Here is a 14,375-nt window from a genome sequence, read left to right as displayed (position 1 = left end):
AACAGTGCCCTCGGGATCTGCTCACTCACATGCACTATCTCCTTCACCTTCTGAAGTTTGGGTGGAGGAAGGAGTAGCTCCAGATCTCAAACCCTCTCAGCTTCGGTTTCATGCCTCTCTTCTCACATGTTCTAGTGATATTGCACTTCATTGGCTCTACCTAGGTCATGTGCCCACCCCTAAAAAAATCACCGTGACCAGGGAAATGTGAAGGCAGTAAATGGCCCATGTCCCATGCTCCACCCAACCTCCTCTCAAAGCACAGGGCAGAGTGACCAAGCAGTGGAGTCCCAGAGAAAGTGGGATTCAGTTGTAAAACAAGGGTGAGGGAATACCTGGCTGGAAATTATCCTAATTACATGAGGGAGCCCACAAGAGCAAAGGCATAGAAGTTGGAATGTTCAGGAAATGAAAAGGGAGTGGAGGAGTATGAGGGCTGGAAGATGTATGGGATCCTATTTGCAAAAGCCCTAGCCTTGACATCAGACAAAGATTTTGGACTTGATTGTGCAGGTCCCAGGGAGATGTGAAGGCTCCTGAGATGGGGCCTAGGCCAAGTGTGTTCACTGCCTCCTTCTGCAGACTGTATATGGTCCTGGGACATTCCCTAGGCAGAGTACTTCAAGGCCCTCCTGATTGCCAGATGCTGGGTCCACCATCAAGGCTACGAGAATGGTCCTTTTAATAGCATTTCCCAGCTGGACTACAGAGAATGTGGAACCCTGGTGAGTGGAGGGCCTTAGGTTCTTTTTCCCCAGCAGTGCCAGAAGGAAAATGCTCCCTCCTCCACCCATGCATTTTACAGATACTTTCTGAAAACCTACACACCAGGCCCTGTGTTAGGGGGTTGGGTACAGCAGTGAGCCTAACCAAGATCCCTACCTTGTGGAATTCACCTGGGACAATGTGGGTGGGGACAGTAGCCACTGAACATCACAAATAGGAGAAACATATACAATGTCTGAAAGAAATAAGCACTATTGAAAAAATTTAAAAATAGAGCATCAGGAAGATCAGGAGCGTCAGAGATGGGCCAGTTTGTGTTAAATAGGTTGGACAGGTGAGTGAAAGGTGGTATCTGAGCTAAGACCTCAGAAGGTGAGAGAGTGAGCCAAGCAGACAGCTGAGAGGAGAGCAATCCAGGAAGAGGAATCCCCAGGGGGATGTGTCAGGAGTATTTGAGATCAGTTGTGTCTGGAGCACTGGAGGCTGGTGGACATAAGGGCAAAGAGTGTAGCCAGGGTGAGGGCAGATCACATAGGCCTTAAAGGATTACCGTAAGGAGTTGGGCTTGTTAAGTAAAAACTATGGAAGGCCATTGTTTTGGACTAACCTCCTGCACTAGGTCCCAGCTGACCAGACCAAACCAAAATGGAATCTGTCGTATTAAAGTTCCATGTCCTCAAACCAAAACTAAGTTGTTATCTGACCTTTGAGACTCCTGGAGACAGAGTTAACAGCCAAATTCCCAAACATGACAGTTTCAGTTGGCGTAATAATGCAGACAGTAACCATGCTCATGATAATGAAGTTCCCCGTTTTAATCATTATTAAAAAGTAACCTGAAGAAAACTGATGTCAACCACCCTGTTCCGGCCGCATATAGAAAGTAACTTTGAAATGATGAATCTGGCCCTGTGCAGTGGCTCACGCCTGTAATCCCAGCACTTTGGGAGGCTGAGGCAGGCAAATTGCTTGAGCCAAGGGTTTCCAGTCCAACCTGGGTAACATACTGAGACCCTGTCTCCACAAAAAATACAAAAATTAGCCAGGTGTGGTGGTGTGCTCCTGTAGTCCTAGCTACTTGGGGGCTTAGATGGGAGGATCACTTGAGCTCAGGAGGTGGTGGCTGCAGTGAGCCATGATTGTGGGATTGGACTTCAGCCTGGATGACAGAGTGAGATCCTGTCTCAAAAAAAAAAAAATCAATCTTTTTTTTTGTTCTTCATTTCTTTCTGCCTTTGACAGCCCCTTCCTGTCTATAAAACTAACCTCTTCTACCCAGCTCATTGCAGCACTCTCTGTATTTTATGGAGTGAATCTGTTCCTGATTCAATGAGTCTGTTGCCTGATTCTAGAATTGCCAATAACGCTAATTGAGACCTTTAAACTAAATTTGTTGTAATCTGGTGTTTTGACAGGCTGCTGCTCTGAGGGAGGCGGAAGTAAAGGCCGAGAGTATCAGGATCACTCTGGCTGCTAGGTGCAGATGAGATGGGAGGAGAGCAAGAGAGAGGAAGGACAGGGGCCAGTTGGAAAACTATTACAGCAATTCTCCAGCCTGGCCAACATGGTGAAACTCTGTTTCTAATAAAAACACAAAAATTAGGGCCAGGCATGGTGGCTCACACCTGTAATCCCAGCACTTTGGGAGGCCAAGGCGGGTGGATCCCAAGGTCAAGAGATCGAGATCATCCTGGCCAACGCAGTGAAACCCCATCTCTACTAAAATTATAAAAATTAGCTGTGCGTGGTGGCACGCGCATGTAGTTCCAGCTACTCAGGAGGCTGAGGCAGGAGAATCGCTTGAATCCGGGAGGTGGAGGTTGCAGTGAGCCGAGATCGCGCCATTGTTGTCCAGCCTGGGCAACAAGAGTGAGACTCCGTCTCAAAAAAAAAAAAAAAAGAAAAGAAAGAAAGAAAGAAAAAAAATACAAAAATTAGCCAGGCATGGTGGCAGGTGCCTATAGTCCTGGCTACTTGGGAGGCTGAGGCATGAGAATTGCTTCAACCCAGGGGGAGGAGGCTACAGTGAGCGGAGATCTCGCCACTGCATTCCAGCCTGGGTGACAGAGCAATAGAGCAAGACCCTGTCAGAAGGAAGGAAGGAAAGTAGGAAGGGAGGAAAGGAGGAAGGGAAGAAGCGAGGGAGGGAGGGAGGGAGAGAGGGAAGGAAGGAAGGAAGGAAGCAAGGAAGGAAGGAAGAAAGATTGTAGCAATTCAGAAAAGAAAGCGTGGTATCCTGGAAGCAAGTGAAGAAAGTGGAGGAAGAAGGCGGGGCGAGCAAATGCTGCTGATGGCTGAGAACTGAGAACTGACCACTGGGTTTAGCAACACAGTCACTGAGGCCCCTGGAGAGAGCACTTTGAGTGGACACCCAATTGAGCTGGTTCCCATCTGTTCCCACCAGACCAAAATTTGGTCACTCAGGCTGATTTATTCCCCACATCCTCCTTGTTAGGGTAGTTCTCAGACTGCCTCTCTCCAAGGTCATTCATGCCAGTCATTTCCTCTTGGGCAGTAAGTATGCTGCTCTCAGAACAGCTGGATAATGAGGCCTGGGCAGTGCCAGGTGCCAGGTGCCATCCAAGCACGGCAGCCAGGAAAGCCTTCAGGTACTGGCGGAAGCGGTGACTGGAGAAGGCATACAGGATGGGGGAAAAGCAGCAGTGAAGGAAGGCGATGCTCTCTGTTACCTGGAGTGCGTAGTCTAGATGCTGGCTGACCTCACAGTTCCCGAATACTTGCAGGTCCAACAGCGTATGCAGAAACAAGGTGAGATTGTATGGGAACCATAGCACGAAGAAGGCCACCACCAAGGCTGCAGCTATTTTTAAAGCCCGGCCCTGGCCTGCGGGCCTCAGCCTCACCAAGACACAACCAATACGGGAGTAGAAGAAGATCATGGCAAGGAGTGGAAGGAGAAACCCTAGGAGGTTCTGCTGGAAGCGGAGGAAGAGCTTCCAAATGGTCCCATGCCCGCCGAAATCTGCGTGGCAGTTCCACACACCCTTGGGATTTTCATGTGTCTGTACAAAGACCATATCAGGGATGGAGACGGCCAGGGACACAGCCCATACTATGGTAGCAAGGAGCAGGCTCTTGGCCCGGGTCCTCAGCCTGTGGTAGGGCTGAGCATGAACGATCTCCAGGTACTTGTCCAGGCTCATGCAGCTAATGAAAAAGATGCCACTGTAAAAGTTAATAGTATAAAGAGTGCTCACCATCTTGCACAAGAAACTCCCGAAGACCCAATGCCAGGCCACGGAGATGCCCCAGAAGGGCAGTGTCACCAGAAACAGAAGGTTGGAGATGGCCAGATTCAGCAGATAGATCTCAACCATCCGCCTGCGAGGCACGTAACGGAGCAAGACCATGAGAAGAAGGAGGTTCCCGCTGAGGCCCAACACAAAAATCAGGCTATAGAAGACTGGGAGGAAGACTTTGCCAAAGGACACCACTGCATCCTTCCTGCAGAGCATGAAGGCCACTTCATCCAGGTAGTCATAGTAATAGAAGCTGCTATTCTCAGAATCGGCATCCTCAGTGGCGAGTGGCTGCGGAGAGGCAGTGGCGGCCATGTTGGAAGGAAATGCCCAGTCCCGACGTCCTGTAGTGCTGCGGGGGGAAAATATGGTGAGACCTAGCATTCTCTACCTTTCTCTAAACCCACTTTTGCTGCTGCCCTGGGATGTCCAATAGACTCTTCAAATCTACATCAGTACCTGCAGTCCAGCAAGTAAGAGCAAAAGCTTAGGGAGCCATCTGCACCACTTAATAGTTATGTCACCAAGATATCCCCTCACCTTTGTCTTATAACTGAATCCCACTTACTCTGGGACACTTACTCTTGGATAAGTGACTAACCTTCAGGTGTTCTCAGAGTATTTAATTATTTCATTATGGTTTTGTTTCTTCATTTAAAAAGACCTATAGTGTCTTTCAAATTCTTCTTTATTCTTTAGGGATATCAATTCATCTATTTAATGTGTCTCCTGACCCTTCCTCATGTATGGTTTATAATTTCTTTAATGACAGCTTAGCTTCAGTGGGGCTTTTTTAAAAAATTTTGTTTATTATACTTTAAGTTCTGGGATACATGTACAAAACGTGCAGGTTTGTTACATAGGTATATACATACCATGGTGGTTTGCTGCACCCATCAATCTGTCATTTACATTAGGTATTTCTTCTAATGTTATCCCTCCCCTAGCCCCCAATCCCCCAACAGGCCCAGATGTGTGATGTTCCCCTCCCTGTGTCCATGTGTTATCATTGTTCAACTCCCACTTATGAGTGAGAACATGCAGTGTTTTGTTTTCTGTTCTTATGTTAGTTTGCTGAGAATGATGGCTTCCAGCTTCATCCATGTCCCTGCAAAGGACATGAACTCATCCATTTTATGGCTGCATAGTATTCCATGCTGTGTATGTGCTACATTTTCTTTATCCAGTCTATCATTGATGGGCATTTGGGTTGGCTCCAAGTCTTTGCTATTGTGAACAGTGCTGCAATAAGCATATGTGTGCATGTGTCTTTATAGTAGAATGATTAATAATCCTTTGGGTATATACCCAGTAATGGGATTTCTGGGTCAAATGGTATTTCTGGTTCTAGATCCTTGAGGAATCACCACACTGTCTTCCACAATGGTTGAACTAATTTACACTCCCACCAACAGTGTAAAAGCATTCCTATTTCTCCACATCCTCTCAAGCATCTGTTTTATCCTGACTTTTTAATGATCATCATTCTAACTGGGGTTAGATGGTATCTCATCTCATTGTGGTTTTTATTTGCATTTCTCTAATGCCCAGTGATGATGAGCTTTTTTTTCATATGTTTGTTGACTGCATAAATGTCTTCTTTTGAGAAGTATCTGTTCATATCCTTCACCCACTTTTTGATGGGGTTGTTTTCTTCTTGTAAATTTGTTTAAGTTCTTTGTAGATTCTGGATATTAGCCCTTTGTCAGATGGATAGATTGCAAAAATTTCTCCCATTCTATAGGTTGTCTGTTCACTCTGATGATAGTTTATTTTGCTGTGCAGAAGCTCTTTAGTTTAATTAGATCCCATTTGTCAATTTTGGCTTTTGTTGCCATTGCTTTTGGTGTTTTAGTCATGAAGTCTTTGCCAATGCCTATGTCCTGAATGGTATTGCCTAGCTTTCTTCTAGGGTTTTACGATTTTAGGTCTTATGTTTAGGTCTTTAATCCACCTTGAGTTTATTTTTGTATAAGGTGTAAGGAATGGGTCCAGTTTCAGTTCTTTGCATATGGCTAGCCAGTTTTCCCAACACCATTTATTAGATAGAGAATCCTTTCCCCATTGCTTGTTTTTGTCAGGTTTGTCAAAGATCAGATGGTTGTAGACCTGTGATGTTATTTCTGAGGCCTCTGTTCTGTTCCATTTGTTTATATATCTGTTTTGGTAGCAGTACCATGCTGTTTTCGTTACTGTAGACTTGTAGTATAGTTTGAAGTCAGGTAGCGTGATGCCTCCAGCTTTTTTCTTTTTGCTTAGGATTGTCTTGGCTATATGGGCTCTTTTTGGTTCCATATAAAATTTAAAGTAGTTTTTTCTAAGTCTGTGAATAAAGTCAGTGGTAGCTTGATGGGGATAGCATTGAATCTATAAATCACTTTGGGCAGTATGGCCATTTTCACGATATTCATTTTTCCTATCCATGAGCGTGGAATGTTTTTCTATTTGTTTGTGTCTTCTCTTATTTCCTTGAGCAGTGGTTTGTAGTTCTCCTTGAAGAGGTTCTTCACATCCCTTGTAAGTTGTATTCTTAGGTATTTTATTCTCTTTGTAGCATTTGTGAATGGGAGTTCACTCATTATTTAGCTCTCTGTCTGTTACTGTTGTATAGGAATGCTTTTGATTTTTGCACATTGATTTTGTATTCTGAGACTTTGCTGAAGTTGCTTATCAGCTTAAGGAGATTTTGGGCTGAGGCGATGGGGTTTTCTAAATATACAATCATGTCATCTGCAAACAGAGACAATTTGACTTCCTCTCTTCCTATTCGAATACGCTTTATTTCTTTCTCTTTGCCTGATTGCCCTGGCCAGAACTTCCAATACTATGTTGAACAGGAGTGGTGAGAGAGGGCATCCTTGTCTTGTGCCGGTTTTCAAAGGGAATGCTTCCAGATTCTGCCCATTCAGTATGATATTGGCTGTGGGTTTGTCACCAATAGCTCTTATTATTTTGAGATATGTTCCATCAGTACCTAGTTTATTGAGTTTTTAGCATGAAGGGGTGTTGAATTTTATCGAAGGCCTTTTCTGCATCTATTGAGAAAATAATGTGGTTTTTGTCATTGGTTCTGTTTATGTGCTGGATTACATTTATTGATTTGTGTATGTTGAACCAACCTTGCATCCCAGGGATGAGGCCGACTTGATGGTGGTAGATAAGCTTTTTGATGTGCTGCTTGATTTGGTTTGCCAGCATTTTATTGAGGATTTTTGCATCGATGTTCATCAGGGATATTGGCCTGAAATTTTCTTTTTTTGTTGTGTCTTTGCCAGGTTTTGGTATCAGGATGATGCTGGCCTCATAAAATGAGTTAAAGAGGATTCCCTCTTTTTTCTATTGTTTAGAATAGTTTCACAAGGAATGGTACCAGCTCCTCTTTGTACCTGTGATAGAATTCAGCTGTGAATCTGCCTGGTCCTGGGCTTTTTATGGTTGGGAGGCCATTAATTACTGCCTCAATTTCAGAACTTGTGAATGATCTATTCAGGGATTCGACTTCTTCCTGGTTTAGTCTTGGGAGGGCGTATGTGTCCAGGAATTTATCCATTTCTTCTAGATTTTCTAGCTTATTTGTGTAGAGGTGTTTATAGTATTCTCTGATCGTAGTTTGTATTTCTGTGGGATCAATGGTGATATCCTCTTTATCATTTTTTATTGTGTCTATTTGATTCGTGTCTCCTTTCTTGTTTATCAGTCTGGCTAGTGGTCTATCTATTTTGTTGATCTTTTCAAAAAACCAGCTCCTGGATTCATTGATTTTTTGAAGGGTTTTTCATCTCTCTCTCTCCTTCAGTTCTGCTCTGATCTTAGTTATTTCTTGTCTTCTGCTAGCTTTTGAATTTGTTTGCTTTTGCTTCTCTAGTTCTTTTAATTGTGATGTTAGGCTGTCGATTTTAAATCTTTCCTGCTTTCTCCTGTGGTCATTTAGTGCTATAAATTTCCCTGTAAACACTGCTTTAGCTGTGTTCCAGAGATTCTAGTACATTGTGTCTTTGTTCTCATTGGTTTCAAAGAGCTTATTTATTTCTGCCTTCACTTCATTATTTACCCAGTAGTCATTCTGGAGCAGGTTATTCAGTTTCCATGTAGTTGTATAGTTTTGAGCAAGTTTCTTAATCTTGAACTCTAACTTGATTGCACTGTGGTCTGAGAGACTGTTTGTTATGATTTCCATTCTTTTGCATTTGCTGAGGACTGTTTTACTTCCAATTATGTGGTCAGTTTTAGAATAAGTGTGATGTTGTGGTATCAGGATGCTGAGAAGAATGTATATTCTGTTGATTTAGGGTGGAGAGTTCTGTAGATGTCTACTAGGTCCACTTGGTCCAGAGGTGAGTTCAAGTCCTGAATATCCTTGTTAATTTTCTGTCTTGCTGATCTGTCTACTATTGACAGTGGGGTGTTAAAGTCTCCCATTATTGTGTGGGAGTCTAAGTCTCTTTGTAGGTCTCTGAGAACTTGCTTTATGAATCTGGGTGCTCCTGTTTTGGGTGCATATATATTTAGGATAGTTAGCTCTTCGTGTTGCATTGATCCCTTTACCATTATGTAATGCCCTTTTTTGTCTTTTTGATCTTTGTTGGCTTAAAGTCTGTTTTATCAGAGACTAGGATTGCATCCCCTGCTTTTTTTTTTTTTTTTTTTTTTTTTGCTTTCCATTTGCTTGATAAATATTCCTCCATCCCTTTATTTTGAGCCTATGTGTGTCTTTGGACGTGAGATGAGTCTCCTGAATACAGCACACCGATGGGTCTTGACTCTCTATCCAATTTGCCAGTCAGTGTCTTTTAATTGGGGCATTTAACCTGTTTACATTTAAGGTTAATATTGTTATGCGTGAATTTGATTCTGTCATTATGATGCTAGCTGGTTATTTTTCCCATTAGTTGATGCAGTTTCTTCATAGTGTCAATGGTCTTTACAATTTGGTATGTTTTTGTGGTGGCTGGTACCAGTTTGTTCTTTCCATGTTTAGTGCTTCCTTTAGGAGCTCTTGTAAGGCAGGCCTGGTTGTGACAAAATCTCTCAGCATTTGCTTGTCTGTAAAGGATTTTATTTCTCCTTCACTCATGAAGCTTAGTTTGGCTGGATATGAAATTCTGGGTTGAAAATTCTTCTCTTTAAGAATGTTGAAGGCCAGGCGCGGCGGCTCACGTCTGTGATCCCAGCACTTTGGGAGGCCGAGGTGAGCAGATCACAAGGTCAGGAGATCGAGACCATCCTGGCTAACACGGTGAAACCCCATCTCTACTAAAAATACAAAAAAAAATTAGCTGGGCATGGTGGCGGGCGCCTCTAGTCCCAGCCACTCAGGAGGCTGAGGCAGGAGAATGGCGTGAACCCAGGAGGTGGAGCTTGCAGTGAGCCAAGACCGCGCCACTGCACTCCAGCCTGGGCAACAGAGTGAGACTCTGTCTCAAAAAAAAAAAAAAATGAATGTTGAATATTGGACCCCCACTCTCTTCTGGCTTGTAGAGTTTCTGCAGAGAGATCAGCTGTTAGTCTGATGGGCTTCCCTCTGTAGGTAACCTGACCTTTCTCTCTGGCTGCCCTTAACATTTTTTCCTTCATTTCAACATTGGTGAATCTGAAAATTATGTATCTTGGGGTTGTTCTTCTCGAGGAGTATCTTTGTGGTGTTCTCTGTATTTCCTGAATTTGAATGTTGGCCTGTCTTGCTAGGTTGGGGAAGTTCTCCTGGATAATATCCTGAAGAGTGTTTTCCAACTTGGTTCCATTCCCTCCGTCACTTTCAGGTACACCAATCAAACGTAGGCTTGGTCTTTTCACATAGTCTCATATTTCTTGGAGGCTTTGTTCGTTCCTTTATATTCTTTTTTCTCTAATTGTGTCTTCACACTTTATTTCATTAAGTTGATCTTCAATCTCTGATATCCTTTCTTCTGCTTGATTGATTCAGCTATTGATCCTTGTGTATGCTTCACAAAGTTCTCATGCTGTGTTTTTCAGCTCCATCAGGTCATTTATATTCTTCTCTAAACTGGTTTTGCTAGTTAGCAATTCCTCTAACCTTTTTTCAAGGTTCTTAGCTTCCTTGCATTGGGTTAGAACATGCTCCTTTAGCTCAGAGGAGTTTGTTATTACCCACCTTCTGAAGCCTAGTTCTGTCAATTCATCAAACTCATTCTCCATCCAGTTTTGTTCCCTTGCCTGCAAGGAGTTGTGATCATTTGGAGGAGAAGAGGTGTTCTGGTTTTTGGAATTTTCAGCCTTTTTGCACTGGTTTTTCCTCATCTTCATGGATTTATCTACCTTTGGTCTTTGATGTTGGTGGCCTTCAGATGGGGTTTCTGTGTGGATGTCTCTTTTGTTGATGTTGATGCTATTCCTTTCTGTTTGTTAGTTTTCCTTCTAACAGTCAGGCCCCTCTGCTGCAGGTCTGCTGGAGTTTGCTGGAGGTCCACTCCAGACCTGTTTGCCTGGGTATCACTAGCAGAGGCTGCAAAACAGCAAATATTGCTGCCTGTTTCTTCCTCTGGAAGCTTCGTCCCAGAGGGGCACCGCCAGATGCTAGCCAGAGCTCTCCTGTATGAGGTATCTGTCAACCCCTGCTGGGAGGTGTCTCCCAGTCAGGAGGCAAAGGGGTCAGGGACCCACTTGAGGAGGCAGTCTGTCCCTTAGCAGAGCTCAAGTGCTGTGCTGGGAGATCCACTGCTCTCTTCAGAGCCGGCAGGCAGGAACATTTAAGTCTGCCAAAGCTGCGCCCATAGCTGCCCCTTCCCCCAGGTGCTCTGGCCCAGGGAAATGCGAGTTTTATCTATAAGCCCCTGACTGGGGCTGCTGCCTTTCTTTCAGAGATGCCCTGCCCGGAGAGGAGGAATCTAGAGAGGCAGTCTGGCTACAGTGGCTTTGCCAAGCTACGGTGGGCTCTGCCCAGTTCGAACTTCCCAGTGGCTTTGTTTACACTGCGAGGGGAAAACCGCCTACTCAAGCCTCAGTAATGGCAGATGCCAGTGGGGCTTGTTTTATCCATAAATGTCCAATGCATCCACCCTGGCTTTGGGTTTTCTTTACTCCTGTCACCTGAGGATTTCCCTTGCTTTTTGAGAATTTTTAAATATTTTATTTGTAAATAGTTTCATATCAATATTTTTAATGACAAATATTTAATATTTTAAACATTTTATCCAATATTTCTGTTCGCAGCAGAAAGGTGTGATCCATCATGTTGATGGGCTCAGAACCTACTAAACTTTTCTCCCTCTTAGTTTCCTTATCTTTAAAATGAAAATAATAACAGTGCCTGTCTTGTGAGGTTCTTGTTATGCTTAAATGTAATAATACATGCAGAGCACTTTAAGTTCTACAAAACTGACTGGAACACAGCAGACATTCAATAAATGCGAGCCTAAATTATTGCTTTGCCCAGAACTGAGTTCATCATCTCCCCACCAGCCCCTTTCTTCTTTCCTAGGCCTATCTAACTGAATGACTCCACCAACTACTCAGTCACCTAAGACTGAAATATGGGATACCTTGCAGATTCTTTCCCCATCATCCTCACCACCACCACCCTGTGAGTCTCTCCTCTTGAATCAGCCCACTTATCTCTAAGTCCCATAAAAATATGTACAAGATACTCTTTTAATAAAATTAAGACAAATGAAACAAAACATATATACTTTGAAGGAGTACAAATAGATGACAGGAAGGCATAGGAATGAGAGGCACCAAATTCAAGACGGCAGGTGCCTGGGCAGAAGCCAGCAGCATGGGATTGGGGTGGACCATGGAGATGGGACAAGTCACTGTCCACGGTTAAGTGTCCTCTAAGGCAGTGACATCCCAGGATTTTATTGCATTATTTAAAATAATTTTTTGATGAGAGCTTCACATAAACCAGTGATACAAGTATGTCATGAACTAAGAATTAGGCTCAAACCTGTAGTGTGTTCCAGGAGAAAGACAGGGAGAGAGAGAGACTTCATATTGAACAAAGAGCATTCACCAATGGGGAAGGGGGCTTGAGGAGGAGAGAGGAAGGAGATAAAAAGGAATTTGTGGTCCAAGCAGGCAATCGTGAAGAGCCACTGAAGAGAGGCCTGTAGACTGCTGATGGTCACGGGCCACAAACTGAGAAATGCAAATCAGCTCTACCCCGTACTTCTGAATTTTACTTTTTAATATTTTACTTGCATGAGCTTGAACTTTTTAATATGTTCAATACCCCCTTGTATTTCTTCTGTAAATTATTTATTCTTTTAATGGGTGGGATGCTCATTTTATGAGGTCTTATAATAGTGAGGATGTTAGCTTTTTTCATATGTATTGCAAACATTTTCCTTAGCCCTTTCTGATAAAAGTTTTATCCCCTTTTTTCAGGCAGACTTCGAAAGAAATGTTGACTCGGGTCCTCAGTTGACCCAAAGTATCTATGATACCATGATCTCATGGCTGATGGAACTATTCAGTGCTGCTGAAACAGAACCTCTCCTGAGGGAGCCCTGGAGTCCTCCCACTCTGTGAGCTTCTGCCCCACCCTTGGGCTCCTATCCGATGGCATCTGGACCAGATGCTGTGGAAACCACACATGACCTGCCCCCACCCCAGGAGCTCAGCCTGAGTGGCTTTATCTAAGGCCCAACTCTGTTCCTGATCAACCTTAGGAACTTTACCCAGTGCCTTTTTCTGCTGGTCTTCCTGTCCTCTCCTCTGCACCAGGGGCCTCCTGGCCTTCAACTCCTCCCTTTTCTGGGCAGCAGTAAGGACACTCCTAGCACATGGCTGGTGCTGGGAGCCTGTGAGCTGCTGCAGAAGGAGGATGTGAGGAGTATACTCGGGTCTTATCAGGGCTTATTACTCAGGAGTTGACATTGATTAAACACCAGCTCTTCTGAGCTGCTGACATGGACCTTGATCTTGACTTGATTTCTCGAAGTCCCCTGACTTTTGTTTCAGCAAACAACCAAGTCTGATGAATGTTTCAATCAAAGCCAGAGGTCAGAGTCAGCAGAACCTGCTAGTCCAGGCCACCTTTGTTCTCTCTCTACATGGAACACTCTATTCCCTTCCCACTCGAGGTCTTTAGCCTCCTGATCTTTCACTCTGGGAATCTTTTCTGGTCATCCTCACTTCTGGAGCAACCATCCTCCTATCACTTTCATCAGTAAAGCCAACAAGAATGACCACAGCCATCAGGCCTTTGCCCTCCTGATCTCTCACTCTGGGAATCTTTCCAGGTCATCCTCACCTATGGAGCAACCATCCTCCTATCACTTTCATCAATAATGCCAACAACAGTGGCAACAGCAATCAGGCCTTTACCCCTGATCTTTCACTCTGGGAATCTTTCCAGGTCTCCCTCACCTCTGGAGCAACCATTCCCTCCTATCACTTTCATCAATAATGCCAACAATGACAGCAGCAGTCAGCACTCCCATATGCATGTTACAGCTGGCCAGACACCTTCATATGCACTGCAGCAGCCTTATAAGGCAAATTGGGAAGGAACCATCAGTCCCATTTAACCCAGGAGCAAAGCAACTTTACCAGGGTCACTAGTCAAGTTGCATCTGAAATCCAAGTCTTCAGACTCCAGGCACATGGTACCTTGTCCCTGGTCCCACCTCATCCTTAGCCTCTGTTCTGCTCTACCTAGCAGTTACAAAAAGGAGTCACTGAGAAAGGTGTGATTGAAGGCTGGGTGTGGTGGCTCATGCTTGTAATTCCAGCACTTTGGGAGGCCAAGGTGGGTGGATCACCTGAGGTCAGGAGTTTGAGACCAGCCTGGTCAACGTGGCGAAACCCCATCTCTACTAAAAATACAAAAAATAGCCGGGCATGGTAGTGCACACCTGTAATCCCAGCTACTTGGGAGGCTGAGGTAGGAGAATCACTTGAACCCAGGAGGCAGAGGTTGCAGTGAGCTGAGATCACACCATTGCACTACAGCCTGGGCAACAAGAGTGAAACTCCATCTCAAAAAAAAAAAAAAAAAAGAAAGGTATGATTCAGTCTTTGCTGGTTGCCCAGGATCTTACCCTCACTGGGAGATATCCAGGGCTCACCTCCCTTAGGTCTCTCAGGAAAGTCGCAGTTGAGGCAACAAGAGGAAAGATATTGTGATGAGGATGCAGCATGTTAGTTGGGCTCCTTCTATGAGTTGAACACTAACATGTAATTTTCTCATCCTATCTTCACCATAGTCCTGGGAAGCAAAGTGATTATAATCCCCACTTTCCAGATAAAGAAACAGGTGTGGATAGGTGAAGCCCAATTGTCCACAGCCTCAGATTAGCAAATGGGGGGCCGGGGATTGGATGGCCCTCACAACGTGAGGTGGAAGTGACGACCCCTTCCCCCCCACACTCCCTTTCAAAATGGATCAAACTTAAATTCGAAGGTTGAGGTTCCGACAGTGGGACT

The 14,375-nt window shown here is 44.3% G+C and overlaps 1 protein-coding gene across 1 annotated transcript in view, besides 1 other annotated feature; it reads right to left on the bottom strand.

Annotated features, from left to right (window-relative positions):
• Positions 1-1,517: 1,517 nt before the first annotated feature.
• Positions 1,518-14,375, bottom strand: part of ACKR2 (atypical chemokine receptor 2) — a 57,842-nt gene continuing 44,984 nt past the window's right edge. The window contains exon 3 of the mRNA NM_001296.5: positions 1,518-4,338. Within this exon, the coding sequence (NP_001287.2) occupies positions 3,147-4,301 (1,155 nt within the window). The 5' untranslated portion in view covers positions 4,302-4,338 and the 3' untranslated portion in view covers positions 1,518-3,146. The remainder of the gene's footprint in view (positions 4,339-14,375) is intronic.
• Positions 13,043-13,337: a silencer, noted in NCBI's record as "tiled region #10602; HepG2 Repressive DNase matched - State 5:Enh, and K562 Repressive non-DNase unmatched - State 7:EnhWF". NCBI's record gives its function as "represses a minimal TATA promoter and a strong SV40 promoter by Sharpr-MPRA in HepG2 and K562 cells {active_cell/tissue: HepG2 | K562}" and the evidence as "EXISTENCE:reporter gene assay evidence [ECO:0000049][PMID:27701403]".

The sequence above is a fragment of the Homo sapiens genome, chromosome 3 (genome assembly GCF_000001405.40).
Source record: "Homo sapiens chromosome 3, GRCh38.p14 Primary Assembly".
NCBI lineage: Eukaryota > Metazoa > Chordata > Mammalia > Primates > Hominidae > Homo > Homo sapiens.
This window is presented reverse-complemented; position numbering and strand designations above follow the sequence as displayed.